Genomic DNA, 19,447 nt, shown 5'->3' on the forward strand with positions numbered 1-19,447 from the left:
AGCAGCCAGTTCACAGCAAATTTACTTTTCAAAAGACTGGGAAAGAAGGGAATTGGGGGAACTTTTTTTCTGTTTGTTGAGGAGGGAGATTATTTATTAACTTGTTTATTTTACTACCCAATATATACCACACATAGGACCCCATGTGCAAAGATTTCACAGCTTTAAGAACATGAAATATTTTAATGAAAGACTGTAGTTAACATTTCAAAAATGTAAGTTCAAGCCAAGCCTACTTTCCTTTGAACATTTCATAGAAGTTAAAGGAAACGGGGGTTGTAGGTTTTTTTTTTTTTTTTTTTACGTATTTATTTATTTAGAAACAGAGTCTCACCTTGTCATCCAGGCTGGAGTGCAGTGGTGCCATCTCAGCTCACTGCAGCCTCGACCTCCCAGGCTCAAGCGATCCTCCTGCCTCAGCCCCCCAAGTAGCCGGGACTGTAAGTGTGCACCGGTACACCTGGCTAATTTTTTGTATTTTTCATAGAGACAGGGTTTCGCCGTGTTGCTCATGCTGATCTCCAACTCCTGAGCTCAAGCAATCCGCTCACCTCGGCCTCCCAAAGTGCTGGGATTACAGGTGTGAGGCACTGCACCCAACCTTTAGATTTTGTTTTTAAGCATAATATTGGAGGTGGAGTGATCTATTAGTTTCCCGGGGGGGCTGCCATAACAAAGTACCGTAAATTTGGTGGCTTAAAAGACCAAGAATGGGCCAGGCACGGTGGCTCAGGCCTGTAATCCCAGCACTTTGGGAGGCCGAGGTGGGTGGATCATCTCAGGTCGAGAGTTCGAGAACAACCTGGCCAGCATAGAGAAAACTCGTCTTTACTAAAAATACAAAAATTAGCCGGGTGTAGTGGTGGGTGCCAGTAATCCCAGCCACTTAGGGGGCTAAGGCAGGAGAATTGCTTGAAGCCGGCAGGCGGAGGTTGCAGTGAGCTGAGATCGAGGCATTGCACTCCAGCCTGGGCGACAGAGCGAGACTCGGTCTAAAAAAAAAAAAAAAAAAAGACCAAAAATGTATTAATGTATTGTGTCACAGTTCTGGAGGCCAGCAGTCTAAAATCAAGGAGTCAGCAGGACCATGCTTCCTCCGAACCCTGTAAGGGAAACTCCTTCCTTGCCTCTTCCTAGTCTCTGGTGGTTGCCAGCAATTCACGGCATTCTTCGGCCAGCAGCTATATCACTCCAACTTCTGCCTCCATCGTCACGTGGAGTTCTCACCTTGAGTGTTTCTGTCTCTGTGTCTCATCTATTTTTATGACACCACTCATACTGGATTAAGGACCCACCCTATTCCATTATGACCTCATCTTTATTAATTACATCTGCTATGGCCCTATTTCCAAATAACGTCAATGCTGAGAATCTGGAGGTGAAGACTGAATATCTTTTTAGGGGACAGGATGCAACCCCCAACAGTTATAATCAGACCAACTCGTAAAAGAAAAACACAGAGCTCACGGCCTCCACCTAGTTCCTGTCAGCACTGGGAAGGCCCTTTTACATCAGCAAAGCTACTGATACATCAGTGATTCTTTCCAAAGAGGGGAACAAACCATTCATTCATCAATTATTTGTATTAATAGCAGTAGAACTAATAATACTAATACTAATAGTACTACTACTAGCAAAAATAATTGAGGACATGCAATATATGAGCAGGTAAGAGCCAAATTGTTGTGGTAGAAGGCTGAGAAGGCTTACAAGAGCCCCTCCTGCTCAGCATCACCCCAGGCCCTAATCCCTCATTCTCTGGGGATGAAAGGCCTTGAGGCATGGTTTAAAAGCCATTAGACTACCTATGGAGAAACTGAGGCCCAGAGGGGCAGCAGTGAAAACCTTCTCCAGGGACACACACAATAAGTCTATGGGAGGCAGGACTGGAAGCTGGGTCCTTCCCTGATTTCTAGTTCAAAGCCTTCTGTACACGCTCATGTTCTTGGGGTAAAGCGAACAAGAAGATGGAGTTTCATGCTCTCTGGTCTTCCTTTTCAACCAGACTGGCTCTGTTCCTGCAGCCTCCTGTGTGTCCCCACACTGCATTTCCTGGCAAGGAACATCATTCACATCCAGCCCTAGGTCCCGGGTATGTGCTGTGATTCTCATCCCCAGGGTCAGCGGAAGGGACTCAATGACTTTCTGGGTCTTTTCCAGTCCAGGGATACTGCAACCACAATTAGGCTTCCAGATTTTGGTTCTAGTCTGCCACTTCCTTGCTCTGTAACTCTGGTGAGGCCCGAACTCCCTGGGAGTTACCCCACTGCCACAATGGCCCTTCCATCCCTCTCTGGAGGAGAAACATCAAGGTTCACAAGACACAGATGGGGAGTTGTTTTTTCACAAGTTTGCTCTGAACCCGTCTTTTCCTGATCCACGTAATTGACAGAGACAGAATGAGTTGGGGTTGGGGGGTGGTGCATAGACTTCAAAAAGCAAACAAGCCCCCAAGGACATTTCCAACTCAGTCTGGGACAGTTTAGAAATCCATATGCAAAGAACCAACCCTGAAGCCCAGGTTTTTTAGTCCAACCAACTAAACCCTGGGAGGACCTTCCAAGGAGGCAGGGGTGCCGTCATGAAATGCTCTGTTCGCATCAGAGGTCAGTCTGACTTCCGTCCACTAAAACTACTCTCCAGAGACTCATTGCAACCTTCAACGCGGTTGACTCCGGAGTCACTCTCCTGCCAATCAATGGAACGGCAGTAGTTTGGAGAAATTGCCAGAGAGTAGTGCCTCTAGGAGTCACGATTGGCCTCGATGTGTGGATTCAGGACATCTGCATTCCAGCCTGGCCTCTGCTACTTACTAGCAGATAACTTGGGACCAATCTCTTAAGTACTCTTGAGCCTGTCTCAGAGCTGTAAATTGAAGCAGCATTCATTCAACACTCATTGGGCACCTACAACGTGCCAGGTGCAGTGCAGGGGGATGGCATATTTTGCCCCTCTCTACTTCACAGGCTGCTGTGACTATCAGGCTGTTCGGAGTCTGGAAGTGGCTGCTAAACGCTCGTGATGTGTAAATATTGTTTCTACTGCAGGACTCCCATGGAGTGGGAGATGCGTCCTCAGCGAGTCCCCTACCCTCGGATGCTCCTGCTCTGATTTCATATCAAAGCAATGTGATTAGCTCTGAGGTTTTTCATGATTTTCCTTCATAAGACCCATTTCGAGGGCTAAAGTGACACCTGAAAAAGTATGATTCATGCAAATAGGCATTCTCCAGTTTATCTTTTAAAATGGTGGGCCGGGTGTGATGGCTCACGCCTGTAATCCCAGCACTTTGGGAGGCCAAGGCGGGCGGATCACGAGGTCAGGAGATCGAGACCATCCTGGCCAACATGGTGAAACCCCATCTCTACCAAAAATAAAAAAAATTAGCTGGGCATTGTGGTGGGCGCCCATAGTCCTAGCTACTCAGGAAGCTGAGGCAGGAGAATGGAGTGAACGCGGGAGGCGGAGGTTGCAGTGAGTTGAGATCACACCCCTGCACTCCAGCCTGGGTGACAGATCGAGACTCCATCTCAAAAAAAATAAACAAATAAATAAATAATAAAATGGTGAATGGTACGGACTTTGCCTTATTCATCCTGCAGGGTAATGCACACAATAGGTGCTCAATAAATACATTGAATGAATAAATGAGTGAATGAATGCATAAAGGCAAACCTTGCCTCCAAGAAGGAGAATTAGTAAAATGGAATCAGAAGGAAGGAAAACTTTTCCATGAGTTTATTTTACCCATCTCCCAGGATACCAGCATCCTCTCTAACCCTCTCCAGCTCCTGTGAATGACTCAAGGTTGTGTGTTCCCTCTCCAGCTATGATCCCTCTGTCTAGTGATCTTCATGCACTGTCAGGAGGCCAGGTGCGACTCCAGGAGCTCAGGCTCCCGACATCTTGTTACAGCAGTCATACGAAGGAAGTGGGCGACGTGCGTGTCCCCCACCACCCTCGCACTAACTGCTAGGGCCAAGAGGAATATTTTCATCCAGTCTTTCTCCCCCTTTCTTTCTTCTTTTAAGCTTCTTCCAGTGATAAAAGCTGGAGCAAATTGAAATTGGCAGCTCTGTGGTCTTCAAGCAACAGGAAAAGTACTAGAGATCATGTGAACGACACTTTTGAAAACCCTTTAAAAAAATCTAATCTTGCCTCAATAAAAACGACATCATGTCACTGTAATCGGCAGAGGAAAGGCTTGGAAGTTGCTGGCAGTGGCCCAGCAGAGTTCAGGGGTTATGTTGGCTGTGGTGATTTCCCACGGGAAAGGTAGACGAAGAGTACTGCCTCTCAGGTGAGCTTCTAGGCCTGTCAGGTGCGAGGCGGAGTGGGGAGGAATAAGGTCCCCCCGCCATGCTGAAGTCTCCCTGTAATCTCCGGCACTGCTGTAACAGACTCAGAGGCAGGCTCCTCCACCCTCCTCTCCCACCTGCCTTTCTTCCTGATGGAGCTTTTGGCTGTGCTCCTCCCTCTGGTTGGCTGACTTTAAGGGAGAGATGAGACAAGAGCTAACCTGGGAAGTCTCAATGAGGACAAATCTCCTGGTGAGGGCACAGATCTAGAGCCAAGGAGGGTGGCACTAAATGCTCCAATTGCACTCAAGTGTGGAGTCCTTGCAAATTCACCCCTGTGTGGTGTGAGCCAAGGACAACAATCAAATGGCAGGTTGACCACGCTGTAGCTGGCCATTCTGCAACGGGGGCTGCTTTAGCCCTGGGAAGTGCAGTGCTGGGAGCTGGTTTTCACAGCGTTGCAGCTTACCTTCCATGGGTAGTTCCTATCTACTACTAGCCAGTAATCCATTAGCATGGATGGGTATATAAGGGATAGGCAAGAATGGCCACTGCAGGGTTTGAGGGACAGGGGCCACAGATGGAAGAGTTACTTTTCAGGATTTACCCTTTTGTACGGGTTGACATTTTTAAACATATTTTGAAGTTCAATCATTCAATAGATAAGGAGACAAATCCATCAGCAGCAAATGAGCCTTCAGATGATGCCTGCCTCTCCTGCATCCCTCATCTCCCTTCTCAGACTGGGGGACACAGGCCCCTTCAGGGATACAGACTGGCCCAACAGGGAGAAATCTGAAATTTCACTTTTACTTGAAGGGCGGAGGGAGAGGCAAAGACATCTTTTTTTTTTTTTTTTTTTTTTTGAGATGGAATCTCACTCTGTCGCCCAGGCTGGAGTGCAATGGCCTGATCTCGGCTCACTGCAACCTTCTCCTGGGGTTCAAATGATTCTCCTGCCTCAGCCTCCTGAGTAGCTGGGATTGCAGGTGCCCGCCACCACGCCCAGCTAATTTTTGTATTTTTAGTAGAGATGGGGTTTCACCATGTTGGTCAGGCTGGTCTCGTACCTCTGACCTTGTGATCTGCCCACCTCAGCCTCCCAAAGTGCTGGGATTACAGACGTGAGCCACCGTGCCTGGCGGAGACATAATTTTTATATAAAAAGAAATACGGGTGCGATAGCTCACGCCTATAATCCCAGCACTTTGGGAGGTGGAGGTGGGCAGATCACTTGAGGTCAGGAGTTCAAGACCAGCCTGGCCAACATGGTGAAACCCCATCTGTACTAAAAATACAAAAATTAGCCAGCGTGGTGGCACGCACCTGTAGTCCCAGCTGCTCAGGAGGCTAAGGCAGGAGAATCACTTGAATCTGGGAGGTGGAGGTTGCAGTGAGCCAAGAAGGCACCACTGCACTCCAGCCTGGATGACAGAGTGAGACCCTGTCTCAAAAAAAAAAAAAAAACAACATGAATCCATGTGGAGTACAATGCAACATGTACTTGCATGAGTAAGAGGAAACATAATACAGTGTCTCATTCTTAGCATATGCCGTATACCAACAAGCCAACCACTGAGCCCGTGATGTACTCAGTGCTGGTTCTTGTGTTTAAGGGCCTCTGAGGCTGCAGCGGCATTTGAGGTTGTACCTTCCTCCAGGGGCTGCACACGTGAAGCAGAGCCTAGTTGCTGTCCATGACCTAGACAGCAGGTGTTCAGAGGGCTAGTGGGTGTTGGGGTGGTGGTTGCCTGGAAGGGCGGGAAGGATCTTGATTGGCTGAGGACACTGAGGGCTGGGAGACTGTACGAGCAAATGTTGGTAGTGGCTTGGCCTTGGTAGAGGGTTGGTCCTGGGACAGAGACAAGTATGAGGTGCAGCATAGAGACAACAAAAGTGGATCCAGATTACAGAAGGCTCCCATGGGGGAGTCACACGGTTTACATCCATGTGGCCAGCGAGTGCTGCCCAAACTTGCTGTGTTAGTTCTACCCCCACAATACGTCCAAAATCCAACTACCTCTTTCCTACCATTCTGTTCCAAGCCAGCTTCACTTCCTACCTGGATTAAGGTTACAGTTTACCTCTATCCTTGCCTACACAGAGCAGCCAAACTGATCCTTTACAAAGATGAAGCATGTCAGCCAGGCACGGTGGCTCACACCTGTAATCCCAGCACTTTGGGAGACTGGGATGGGCAGATTATGAGGTCAGGAAATTGAGACCATCCTGGCTAACATGATGAAGCCCCGTCTCTACTAAAATACAAAAAATTAACCAGGCGTGGTGGCACATGCCTGTAGTCCCAGCTACTCGGGAGGCTGAGGCAGGAGAATCGCTTGAACCGGGGAAGCAGAGGTTGCAGTGAGCCGAGATTGTGCCACTGCACTCCAACCTGGGCAACAGAGCAAGACTCCATCTCAAAAATAAATGAATGAATAAATAAATATAAATAAAACAATGGAGCATGTCATGTAACTGCTTTGCTCAAAACTTTGCAATGGCTCCCGCCTCCCCGAGAGCAACAGCTAGATCCTTAGAATGCCCTCCTTCTCACCAGCCTGCATCATCGGGCCCCATCACTCTCACTCTCAGCTCCATCTCCCTCCTCTTCCCCTTGCTCACTTTGCCCCAGTCACTCTGGCCTCCTGGCTGTTCCTAGAGCAGGTGGTCCTGCCTCAGAGCCTCTGCACCTGCTGTTCCCTCACTCTAGAAAGCTTCCCCCAGCAAGCTCAAAGTCAAAGTCATCTCTCTAAGGCCTTTCCTGAGCATGCAATTTAAACCTGCACCCTCCCGGCACTCCCCTTCCCCTTTCCCCACTTAATCTCCCTCTAGAGTACCAATTACCTTTTAAAATAGCATTCAACCGATTTATTTATTTTGCTTATCTGTCTCATCTAAAATGTAGGCTCCAAAAGCATACGGATTTTTTTTTTCTGCTTTCTCAGAATGTAATGTCAGGCAAACTCTTCCTCTGGAAGAGTTCCCATTAATAAGTGTTGAAGAAATGAGGGAAATTTGAAAAAATTCCCATTAGATCACCACAATAATAGTTGCTACAGGCAAGATCCTTTGATGGATTCTAAATTTAGTAGACAGAAGTATAAGCAGAAATAGACCATTTGCATAGTCTTGAAGTACTCTCCTCCACCCCCTACAAAAATATTTAGGAAATACAAAGGGAAAATTGTAACTTTACAGTGAACCATCCTTGCAGAAACCACTTCAACAAAGTGATCACGGTTAACATCAGCCATGAGATAAAGTGGCATCATGGAACCCCTGACATGACGCCTGGAAAGGGCACATTCTCTCTGTGATGTCCTTCCAATAATGCAGCTCCTCGACACAATCCTGAGAAGACACCAAACAAACACAAATGGAGGAGCAGGCTACAAAATAACTAACTAGTCCCCTAAACCGTCAGCAAGTGCAGGAGAGTAAGGACACGTGACTTCTAAATGCACTGTGGAATCCCAGATGGAATCCTACAACAGAAAAAAAGACTTGACTAGGAAAAAATGGTAAAATCCAAATCAAGTCTGCCATTTATAGTATTGTACCAAGATGATTCTCTTAATTTTGATGACTATTCCACGGTTGTGTAAGACTGACATAAGGGGAAGCGGGTTAGAGGGTATAAGAGAGTTCACTCTACTATTTTTGCAACTTCTCTGTAGATCTAAAATTACCTCAAAGCAAAACATTTTGAAAAAAAATCATCAGAGGTAACTGCAAATTTGTCAATCTTCTTTCACAGAACTTTATACTTCTCAGCAGAGAGGAGGGAAAATCAGTCTAGGAGATATCATTATTAAACTTGGAATTTGGAAGAAGGGTCTGCCAGTTAGTTGCTCAAGTAACAAACCTGGTGTCCTTTCCTTTTTTTTTTTTTTTTTTTAAAAAAAAAAGGTCTCACTCTGTCGCCCAGGCTGGAGTGCAGTGGCACAATCACAGCTCACTGCAGCCTTGACCTCCTAAGAACAAGTGATCCTCCCACCTCAGCCTCTCGGGACCACAGCTGAGCACCACCAGCTGGGACCACAGCTGGGCACCACCACACCCTGCTAATTCTTCATTTTTTTTGTAGAGATGGAGTTTCCCTATGTTGTCCAGGCTGCTCTCAAACTCCTGGGCTCAAGCCATCCTCCCGCCGTGGCCTCCCAAAGTGCTGGGACCACAGGCACGAGCCACCACAACCCACTCAGTGTCGTCTCTGGACCCCTCTTTCTCCATCATGGTCCAATCCAGTCACCAAGACTTGTCGGTTCTCTTAATCTCTTGAATCCCTCCTGCTCTCCTGCTCTCCAGCCCCACCAGCACCTCGGAGGCCGGCCTTTCTCTTCTCATCTGGGTTACTTCTGGAGCCTCCTCTGGAATAAGGGGAAAATAGTGAAACTCTAGAGAAGGGCGCTCTTTGCAGACCTGGAAAGGTTCTTCCTTGCAAATGAACGGCATGGAGTTACCTCAAAACCAGGGAGAGGGAAAACCAATGTACGTGACATGGAAACCAGGGTAAAAAAACTGCCTCAAACCTACCAACAAGTGAAAGGAAAAATCTACAAAACTCAAAAGCCCGTCTTGGTCATTCTACACAATCTTTATTCTGTGAGAGAAAGCAGTGGCCCCCACTCAGGATATCAAAGACTGAGGTCCCACGTTATCTCCAGGTTTTACTCAAAGAACTCTGCATATTTGGGTATTATTTTTATCTCTCCCTTTCGTTTATTGTCTCAGGGTAAACACTTGTGATTCATAAATGCCTTAAGAGTGAATCAGTATTCTCCTGTTCAAACCAATAGAGGCCACATCAAACAATAACCTACAAGGTATTATTAATCATTAAATAGGCATATATATGAGCACTCAGGCAAGGGAGCCATTTTTCTTCTCTTGTTTGTTTGTTTGAAGGAAATTAACAAAGTACAAACCTTGATTTTGACCTATTCAGAAAAAAAGCATTTTTTTAACCATTAAAAACTTAGTTAAATTCAAGGCTAAAAGGGCAAATATTTCACGTGGGAAAGTGCTCCTTCGTTCAGGAGACTTCCTTCAGCCATTAAACTATGGTCTGGACTTCAAACTGTAGTAGTTACTTTTTCCATAAGCACACACCATCAAAAAATGAACATTCTCAACCATGGCTGGTAGAAGCAAGAGTCCATTGTAGAATTTCTATGCCGCGGCCACACCTGGGTGCAAACTGACAGGTGGGCAAGCCCAGAGCACATCTGCTCTACGGAAGAAGAAGAAACCAAGTCATGTCAAATACACTGTAAGCACAGGCGTCACGGGACCTCCCTCTCCTTCTCCCTGCCCCTATACACACTAAGGGAGGTCCTCTAGCCTCAAAAATGGGGGTTCCTCCCTCTAAGGATGGTAGATCAATGGTATCACCCCTCACAGATATGGAGGTGCTAAAACATGAATGATTTTTCAATAATATTTCTTCTCCCTGTCCCTCAGGAAGCATCTCTGCTCACACCACGACTGAATGGACACGTGAATCTAGCACATACAGTCGGAGGCCCGCAGAACCGGGATGGTCATGTATCCCAGCCTATGCCAGTTGTCCCAGCATCAGTGTTACTAGCATTATCTTCCACTCTCAAAAGTGTTCCAGTTTGAACCCTAAATGATATGGTCACCTCCACAGAACTGGAGCAGGGAGGGTCTTGGGTGTTCATCTTTCCCACCAATCTTATCTCCTACAAGTGAGATGGGTGTCCAGGGAGGATCTGCCCAGGTTTATGCTTTTGATTTCCCCCTCCCTCTGCAGCCCTTCCCATGCCCTCCTGTCTCCGTGAGGGAGGGAGGACCACCCGCGCATCCTGCACGCCAGGCCCATATTGACGCCTGATGCTTTTGCCTCCATTCAGATCTCGTCTTTCTGTGAACCTGAGGCTCATTTCAATTTTTCAAGGCAGGACCACAACAAGCTCTGCATCTGCCTGCACACAAAGCCGAAATCACAGTGCTTGGGTGGTGGGGACCCTTTTCCCTGAAAAAGAAGAAGTCAGATCATTTCTTAAGGTCTCTCCCAGCCTTAGAACCTGTGATTCATAAGAAACTGGCTGAAGCTTTTGGTTTGTCAATATACTCATGAACCAATTTACCAGAGTGGTTGCCATCCATTTCTTTGAAAAAATTAGCACCTTGTGAATTTTCATTAGATGAATGAGAGTACCTATCTTACATATCAGAGATGTTTATTATATAGTAATAATAAAGGTAGCTAAGAACTTACATTGTATTTACAAAATGCCAGGCACTGTACTAAGCACATTACATATATTGGTCCTTATAACAATCCTATAAGGTAGGTACAATGAATACCTCCCCATTGAACAGGTAGGTAAATCAAGGTACAGAATTGTTATGTCACGCAGCTAGAATGCAAGCAAGTGGAACATGAACTCAGGCAGTCTGGCTCCGGAGTTGGCCTTTTCACCACCCTGCTATCCAGTTTCTCCAAATATCTATGTAAATATATGTTCAGCATTCCTAACCGAAATAATCAGCAGGCCAGTCAAATCTCAGCTGTAAAACACTTGAAGTTCACAGAGCAAGTCACTATTTACATCTAGGAGGGCATTTCACCTCCGCTTTATAGACCCCTTTACCGATATCACTCAGCATTGTAAAACAACAGGTGTGTTGAGGTGCTCTGTCAAAACAGGTGTTTCTGTGTGCTGTGTTTACACTTATTTAACCCAGGGTGTCTGGGCACAATTGCTATTTATTTCTTAGTTATACGGAATCTTCCACAGGGAGCTCGTATGAAAAGAGGTGTGAGGTGGGAAAAGAGGTGAGCAGCGGCCCTACCTCAGGACCTTTGGCTGGGCTTGTACACTACCCCGGCGACTGCTCACTGGACTCACCTGTCCCAGGCATCCTCCACACTTTCTTTTCCAGTCTTCCAGAAGGACCAGTGATCTGCCTACTGGCCTTTTTTCCCCTTCCATCTGCTTCCCAGCAGTGGAACCTGCCTGCTTAAATCTTACTTATTAACTATACATAGATATGGCAGACTGCGATTACAGTAGAATTGTTTGGGAGCTCAGTATCTTGCCTCTTCCCACGTACCTTACCCTGGGAATTGCTTTGTACTTGCATATTGCCATGTGGTGGTGTGTCTTTAATAACCATCAATAAAGATAGGCCTGGGAAAACACAGACAGCCACAGACTCCTCTAAATTCACCTGACTGCACAGAACAGAGCTGTCTGGAGAGGTATCCCGGCTACCCAGAGGTGGTCACCAGGAGTGGTCAAAGTAAACCCACCCCCTTTGATTCAGCAGCCAGAGAGAATTTAGAAGAATAGGCTCACCCTCTGAGGGTTCCTTGAATCCAATAAAACCTGTTCTTAAGTCTGAGTTCATTTATGGATTTATTCTCCAAATATTTGAGAGTGACGGTTCTGTGAAAAGTATTCGCCTAATACCACGAGGTGTTTCATAGCTTCTTTATCAGAAAAGCAATAGAGATCAAGGATGTGGGAAGGAAGGGGAATTTTTTTTTTGAGACAGGGTCTAGCTCTGTCATCTAGGCTGGAGTGCAGTGGCACGATCTTGGCTCACTGCAGCCTTCACCTCCCAGGTTCAAGTGATCCTCCCACCTCAGCTTCTCAAGTAGCTGGGACTACAGGCACATACCATCATGCCCAGCTAATTTTCGTATTTTTTTTGTGGAGAGATGGGATTTTGCCATGTTGCCTGGGCTGGCCTTGAAATCCTGGGCGCAAGTGATCCACCCACCTAGGCCTCCCAAAGTGCTGGGATTACAGGCGTGAGCCACCGCACCCAGCTGGGAAATTTTTATAATATAAGCCTGGGGTGTCACACTCTGCACAGATTAATAGCATTTGAATAGCAGGCAGGGATGGAAGTAATTGTCAAAATAGGTAGGTAATTTTGCCTTGCATGTAGTAGGTGCTCAAGAATATTTATCGAGTGGAATTAAGTTAAACAGACAATTAGAAATTGGATGGTCTTAGCCACTGACTATACTGTCTGTCATCAGTGCAGGTTCACTCAATACAAAGAAAATGAGCTGGGATTCTACCCCTCCATCCAGGTGACAGGTGGTGCTAGATGCCGAGTCTAGGTCTGCCCCAGGTGCCAGGGCTTTGAGGGCAGGGAAGGAGATGAATAGCCACCCATAACAAGGAGATCAAATACTTGAACTTGAGTACTGGGGTGCTTCCATGACTGTGAGAGCCTATTGAAATAAAGGTCACAGCTGGATACATGTATGATATATGCACAGCGTGGCAACCTCCTCCAGGAGCCAGCAACATGCTGGGACTTTATTAGGAGACCTCCCATCAGGTAAGGTGAGCCTGGCACACACCAGCACGCTGCAAGAGAACCCGCTCTCCCTGAGTCCTCTCAGATTTCAACCAAAGCTGGTCTGTGGAAGTCCAAGTCCGCAAAAGGACAGACTCCTTTTCCCTACTAAACATAATGTCAATACACCGAGTGAGGCTGAGGGAATCCAAAAATGAGCTCTGTCATGTAGACAGTTGCCCACAGTAGTTAAGGAACTATGGAGATTCATGCTCGGTCCTTTCTCTGAAGCTCTGAGGATTCAGTGTACTGCCTCACCCTTTGTTCTGAGCCACTGTCCCCCGACCTCCTGCCCTGGACCATCACCCCTAGACTGAGTAGCAGGGTATGGTCCCCCTAAGTCCGCAGTCCTGGTCATCATCTCCAAACAACCCACAACTTTTCCAGCCTATGGGATTACATATACATATATACACACACACACACACACACACACACATAATGTGTATATATATGTGTGTATATATATAAAATGTGTATATATACACACATATAAAAAGTGTGTGTGTGTATATATACATATATAATGTGTGTGTATATATACATATATAATGTATGTGTATATATACATACATACATATATATAAAAAAATTTTTTTTACTTTAATTTCCGGGATACATGTGCAGAACATGCAGGTTCGTTACACAGGTAGACACGTGCCATGGTGGTTTGCTGCACCTATCAACCCATTATCTAGGTTTTGAGCCTTGCATGTAGTAGGTATTTGTCCTATTGCTCTCCCTCCCCTTGCCCCCCACCCCCTGACAGGCCCCAGTGTGTGTGGTTCCCCTCCCTGCATCCATGTGTTCTCATTGTTCAACTCTCATTTATGAGTGAGAACATTCAGTGTTCGGTTTTCTGTTTCTGTGTTAGTTTGCAGAGAATGATGGTTTCCAGCTTCATCCATGTCCATGCAAAGGACATGATCTCAGCACACGTAGGTTTATTGCAGCACTATTCACAACAGCAAAGACTTGGAACCAACCCACGGCCCATCAACGATAGACTGGATAAAGAGAATGTGGCACATACACACCATGGTAGCCTACGGGATTGTATGTTACACCTATGGCAATACAAACAGCATGGCACGAACAACTAACTAGTAAAAAGCGATGCAGCTTCCAGAATTCCACACGGGCCCTCATTCTCAAACCTGGTCTTCTTTTCTGAGATCTTCCCAGAAAGCCTTTCTGCACTAAATGCTGAACTAGGCAGCTCGACCCTCCGTGCAGGGACGCCTGGGATCCTACTTCTCTGTGTCATTTCCGGAATCTGCTCAGTCATCCTTTTGCTAAGTGGGACTCCTTTCCCTCATGTCTCTCCCTTCTGATTTTCCTCCACAAGAAAAGGAACTTCCCTCATTTCCTCTTCCCGCAAAGATGCACCTGTCCTCCGGATTACTGACATTCTTTACCAGATTGACAGACATCTCTTTTGTCCTCTCTGTTCCAATTTCTGGAAATCTGATTCTTGTCCATGGCTCTCCTTAAGAAAGAAAAGTCAGTTCTCTCCTGGCCTGTAAGTTCCTTTCTCCACCCTTTCTCTCTAGAGGTACTATTTTCCAGAATTCCTGTCTATCCCATATCCGGAGTCCCCAACAGCCCACAGCCCAGCCAAATGTCTCCTGCATTGACCACATAAATCCAATCTCTCCCTTCCTGGGATGCCCATCAGAGCCCTTCCAGCCTAGACAATCTAGAACAAATGGCTGTGTATGAGGACCAAATGCTATGGTGGACGCGAAAGTGCCTCGTCAACTGTCAAGTAATACCATGTGGGTGACAGGTACCTTAGGAACCTCCCACTCTGTAGAAGAGACCAGAAGGGCCCAGTCATGCTAGAGCCCATCAGTCTTTTTTTTTTTTTTTTGAGACAGAGTCTCACTATGTTGTCCAGGCTGGAGTGCAGTGGTGCAATATCTCGGCTCACTGCAACCTCTGCCTCCTGGGTTCAAGTGATTCTCATGCCTCAGCCTCTGAGTAGCTGGGACTACAGGCACGTGTCACCATGCCCAGCTATTTTTTGTATTTTTGGTAGAGATGGGGTTTCACCATGTTGGCCAGGATGGTCTCAAACTCCTGGCCTTAAGTGATCCACCGGCCTCAGCCTCCCAAAGTGCCGGGATTACAGGCATGAGCAACCATACCCAGTCATATCATCTTGAGCTGCAGCTGCGGCAGCTGCCTGGACCATCTTCTCCTGTTCTCTATGCCTGACATCTAAAAGTAAAATATATATTTCATTTGCAAACATCATCTCTCAACCACTTGGAAGATCCATTATTTTTCTCACTTCTCCCTCTCCTAAGCGTGAAGCCGGCCAGCAGCACAGTGTCTTAGTGCTCCAGCCCCTTCTCTGTATTCCTACCATCATGTCTTCTCTGGTCCTGAGATAAAAGCGTAGCACCACCGGAGCATCAGTTCTGGAGCTAGAACTATTCCCTCTTCCAATCTTCCTTTCAGAGCACAAATCAGGGAAACACATTGGCAATTATAAGAAGAGAGGACATGTGGTTTGGCTTGGTTTGGTGGACTGAGAGGCAGCCTGCCTATCCTGGACAGATCCTGAAAGAGACTTCCTATGTCCTGGAGCTGAGAAATTAAGATCCCTTCTTTTTCAGAGAATATAGCGTGATGAGCAAATCTGAGAAAGGAGAATCACAGCACGGCAAACCTGGGACTGTGCTCTGTGACACTACCAAAATCACTCACCAGCAGATGGCTCAGTGTCTTAGCTATAAAATTCATGTTTGGTGGTAATGTTGGTCACTTGCTGTAGACAATATTTAAAAATGTTTTTCTCCTATAGAGAGATACAGTAAAGAGAGTTTCTAGACTGGCGGGCAGTTCTGGTTTTGCTACTCCCCCGCTGGGAGGCTGCTTGACCCTGTGCAAGTCGCTTCTTCCTGGGTTCAGTTTCCCTGTCCATGAAAGGAGTGGGCTGACTCGGTGACCTCTTAGGTACCTTCTCCCTTCTCTTCCAGCTTCCATCTTTCTATAATCTGTGAGATAATGCAAGAATGCTGATGATGATGATCGTAACGAAAAATATGTTGTGGCCGGGTGCAGTGGCTCATGCCTGTAATTCCAGCACTTTGGGAGGCCAAGGGGGGTGGGTCACCTGAGGTTGGGAGTTCGAGACCAGCCTGACCAACATGGGAAACCCCGTCTCTACTAAAAATACAAAATTAGCTGGGCATGGTGGCGCATGCCTGTAATCCCACCTACTCAGGAGGCTGAGGCAGGAGAATCGCTTGAACCCAGGAAGCAGAGGTTGCGGTGAGCCGAGACTGCACCATTGCACTCCAGCCTGGGCAACAAGAGTGAAACTCCATATCAAAGTATATATATATGTATATGTTGTATGGCCGGGTGTGGTGGCTTAGGCCGGGTGCAGTGACTCATGCCTGTAATTCCAGCGCTTTGGGAGGCCGAGGTGGACAGATCACTTCAGGTCAGGAGTTTGAGACCAGCCTGGCCAACATGGTGAAATCCCATTTCTACTAAAATCACAAAAATTAGCCAGGTGTGGTGGTGCATGCCTGTAGTCCCAGCTACTTGGGAGGCAGAGATGAGATAATCGCTTGAACCCGGGAAGCAGAGGCTGCAGTGAGCCTAGATTATGCCATTGCACTCCAGCCTGGATGACACAGTGAGACTCTGTTTCAAAAAAAGAAAAAAGAAAATATGTTGATTCATCCCAAATCACTTTCAGGTCCTAAGTTTTACCAAATGGTTTTTCTGGATAGCTCAGTTTTTCTGTTTTTGATTTTTGGAGAAATTTGGTCTGACGTTACCATTTGGGCAGCTTATCAGCAAGGCAAACACATGCATGCCCTGAGTTTAAAGGGGATGGGCTTCACCCCACATTCCAGAGGCTTCCTGAGGTCCCTGGGCCTGCCCCCATATGCCCCAGCCCCAGCATGGCTCTGACCCTTTCATGCACAAGGGTACAAGTTAGCATCCCTGTGATCCCTCAGGGATACCCTCCTTCATCCCTGGCCTTGCAGGCTCGCCTCACTGAAGCTCTGCTCAGAGGTTAGGAGGTTAGCTGGGAGCACATTTAGAGCCTGCCCACCGCCGCTGCTGTGGCTGGGCCAAACGTGTGATTTAAGCCATTCCAGGATGCCCCGCCCCCACCCTACTGGGAAAGGCTTTCTTGGCAACCATCCTCTTTCAGAGCCATTAGAAAAGTGCACATTCCCTTGGTTTCACTGGCTCCAAGCGAGTGTTGGGGGGTGGGGGGAGTATTACAGGCTGCCGTTAGCCAATGTTGAAAGCTTCTGTTTTCCACCCCCACCTCCAGTTTGCAGTGCAAGGTCCTAGCTTGGCCAGGAATCAACCAGGCATTTTGTTCAGAAGTAGCAACTCATTTTTATCAAAGATGGAATGCAGTTGCAGTTGTTTCTAATGCCTCTGCATGACAACCAGGGCTCTTGCTCCAAGCACTCCCGACTCCTCTTTTCCCCGCAGACACTTTGCTTTCTCACCTATCCCTTTCTACATCCAAAAATTGGATGCAGAGCTGCTCAAGTGCCTCAGAATTCAGGAGTCAAAAGTTGTAGCAATTCAAAGTAGCTTTATTGTGTCTATTTTAAATGCAGGCTTTGGTGATCACAACTCTATAAACCCAACCGAAAATTACCCAAGGACCACAGCAGTTGGTGTGGTGAAAACAGCTCCCAGCTGGCTTCTGCCCACCCTACACCCCCCACACACCCCCAGCCTTATGCTGCTGTGGGCAGCTGAGCAAGTCCCTTCCCTCCCTGGGGCTTAGAGTACCCACTAGTAAGCAGAGACTCCAGATCAGCTTTCCTTAACCTTTTTTGATTGCAAAGAGCTTTGCGATTCTGCTGAAAGCTGTGGACCCTCTTCTCAGGAGAAAGAAAACGTGATGCATCCATTTATGCATTTGGAAAATATTTATTAAGCTCCTGTTAAATATGCACATACAGACACACGTTGAAATTCCATTTCAGGGGCTTTATAGGTAAAAAAAAAAAAATCCTGGTTATGAATTCTGCGATCAGCACATACAGACTGCTATCTAGAAAGACTATGATACTGATTCTAGTAGAGGGTTCTCAAGCTACCAGTCAGCACATGCCAGAGAACGGGGGCAGCAAGGTGGTCATTACAAAGGTGACCTCTAGTTGCCCCCCCCTTCCCAGCACCCCCACCTGGCACGCGCCCCAGCAAACATGCATGCACAGCCGGCCTGGAATGTGCTGTTTCTGGGCACTGGGACTGCTGGAAGCTGGCTGCAGCCCTGGAGAGATGACAAACATGTCTTTTCTATCCTGGGCTTTATTTTTCTCACGGTCCCTGAAAGGGCTGTGATCAGGTGATATGTGTGGGACTGCTCCCTGTACAGGTGCAGAGCAGGTACCGAGGGGAGGAGAAAATCCACCGTGTGTGTACTTACTCAAAGCTCGTTCAATAGCCCTCCCAGGATAGCTCTTGGCAGGGCAGCTACCACGTCTCTGGCAGGCTGGAGGGAATCTGAGTGTGAGAAAGTCAGTCATGCGGAGGAAAAGGGAAAAAAAAAAGCTTCAAGTCCTCAGGCAAAATACCTTTTTTCTTCTTCTCTTGCTCTCTCCTTTCTGTAGCTTTAAACCAAACCCACAAACCACTCTGATACCTAGGGGACAAAGGGGAGTTTCACTAGAGATGCAGTTATTTGTTTTATGGTTTGAAAGCAAACAGGTGATGCGGTAAGACAGAGAAGTCGCCCTTCCGGGGCGGGGGTGGGGGGACGCTGTGGGTGGAGACAAGTGCGGGAGCCCCTGGTTGTATGTATTGGGCATGACACGGTGAGAACGATTCAGAACGATGCTGGTGTCACAGGGGGATCAAAGAAGTGACCTCCACTGATGAACTGGGCTCCATTTTCTCTTTGCTTTGGGAGTCGGGGGAAAAGGATGACTGAAAAATAAAGGCTGTTTCTATCTATCTAAGAGCATTCTTCCAGATGCAGATGCTTCTTCCTGAGTTTAGGAGCTTACTGTCCCATTTGAGAAGGGGTGGGGAGAGGACAACGTTGGTCCTATTTTCACTGCCTAGCATAAGGAAACTGAAAAGTCATCTGTGAGCCCATCTGCAAGAAACTCTTCTTGAATGGTTAGAGTGGAAAGCCAGAGAGTTCCTGGAATTTATTTTTATTTATTATTTATTTATTTTTGGTCCAGACACAAATTCATAATTTTTTTTGTTACTTGAGCCTCTGTCCCCCTATCTAAAAACGTGTGTGTGAAAGTTACTTGCCCATTCCACCAGTCCAAGCACTCCCAAAGTGGCAATAAACGAGTTGCTGATTAACTATTTGACCCACGAGGCTGCTTTAGCCCCTTCAGTGAGACCCTAACTTGACCATATTCCATTCCCCATGCACCTTCAGGGCACCAAATAAGAGTGGGGAACAGAATCAGATGAAAAAGTCTCTTAGAATGGGCAGGGAGTGGCATAACCCAGTAGTTAATGAGGGCCGACCAGCAGACAGCAGTCAATGTCATGGCAGAGCCTGGCAGAGCCTAGCAGAGCAGGCACTGGTTCTGAAAGATTTGGGGGGAACCTGGAAAGGGTTAACATGCTTCCCCGGGAAGGGTTTAGTTCCTCAGAAGAATCTGGGTCAGTGTATTTGGGAAGTTTTTAAAAAGTCAGACGCTCAGTAGAAGCATTTTAAGAAGCTTGCAAAGCTTATTGGGGCCATGGCAGAAAGGAGGGTAACTTCATAGGCTCATCACCTTTCACCAAGAGGATTTTCACCACACAGGAAAACCCTACGTTTTCCAAAAGCA

The 19,447-nt window shown here is 46.9% G+C and overlaps 1 protein-coding gene across 3 annotated transcripts in view; it reads left to right on the plus strand.

Moving 5' to 3' along the window:
• Positions 1 to 10,416, plus strand: part of LOC102724877 (uncharacterized) — a 53,476-nt gene extending 43,060 nt beyond the window's left edge. For 2 of the 3 annotated variants that reach the window (XM_011513352.4, XM_011513353.4), the window contains exon 6: positions 9,765 to 9,946. In XM_011513352.4, the coding sequence (XP_011511654.1) occupies positions 9,765 to 9,926 (162 nt within the window). In that variant the 3' untranslated portion in view covers positions 9,927 to 9,946. Of the gene's footprint in view, positions 1 to 9,764 lie in introns of all 3 variants that reach the window. The other variant, XR_002959666.2, reaches the window with a different exon arrangement.
• Positions 10,417 to 19,447: the final 9,031 nt, after the last annotated feature.

This window comes from Homo sapiens, chromosome 3 (genome assembly GCF_000001405.40).
Source record: "Homo sapiens chromosome 3, GRCh38.p14 Primary Assembly".
In the NCBI taxonomy this organism is placed as follows: domain Eukaryota; kingdom Metazoa; phylum Chordata; class Mammalia; order Primates; family Hominidae; genus Homo; species Homo sapiens.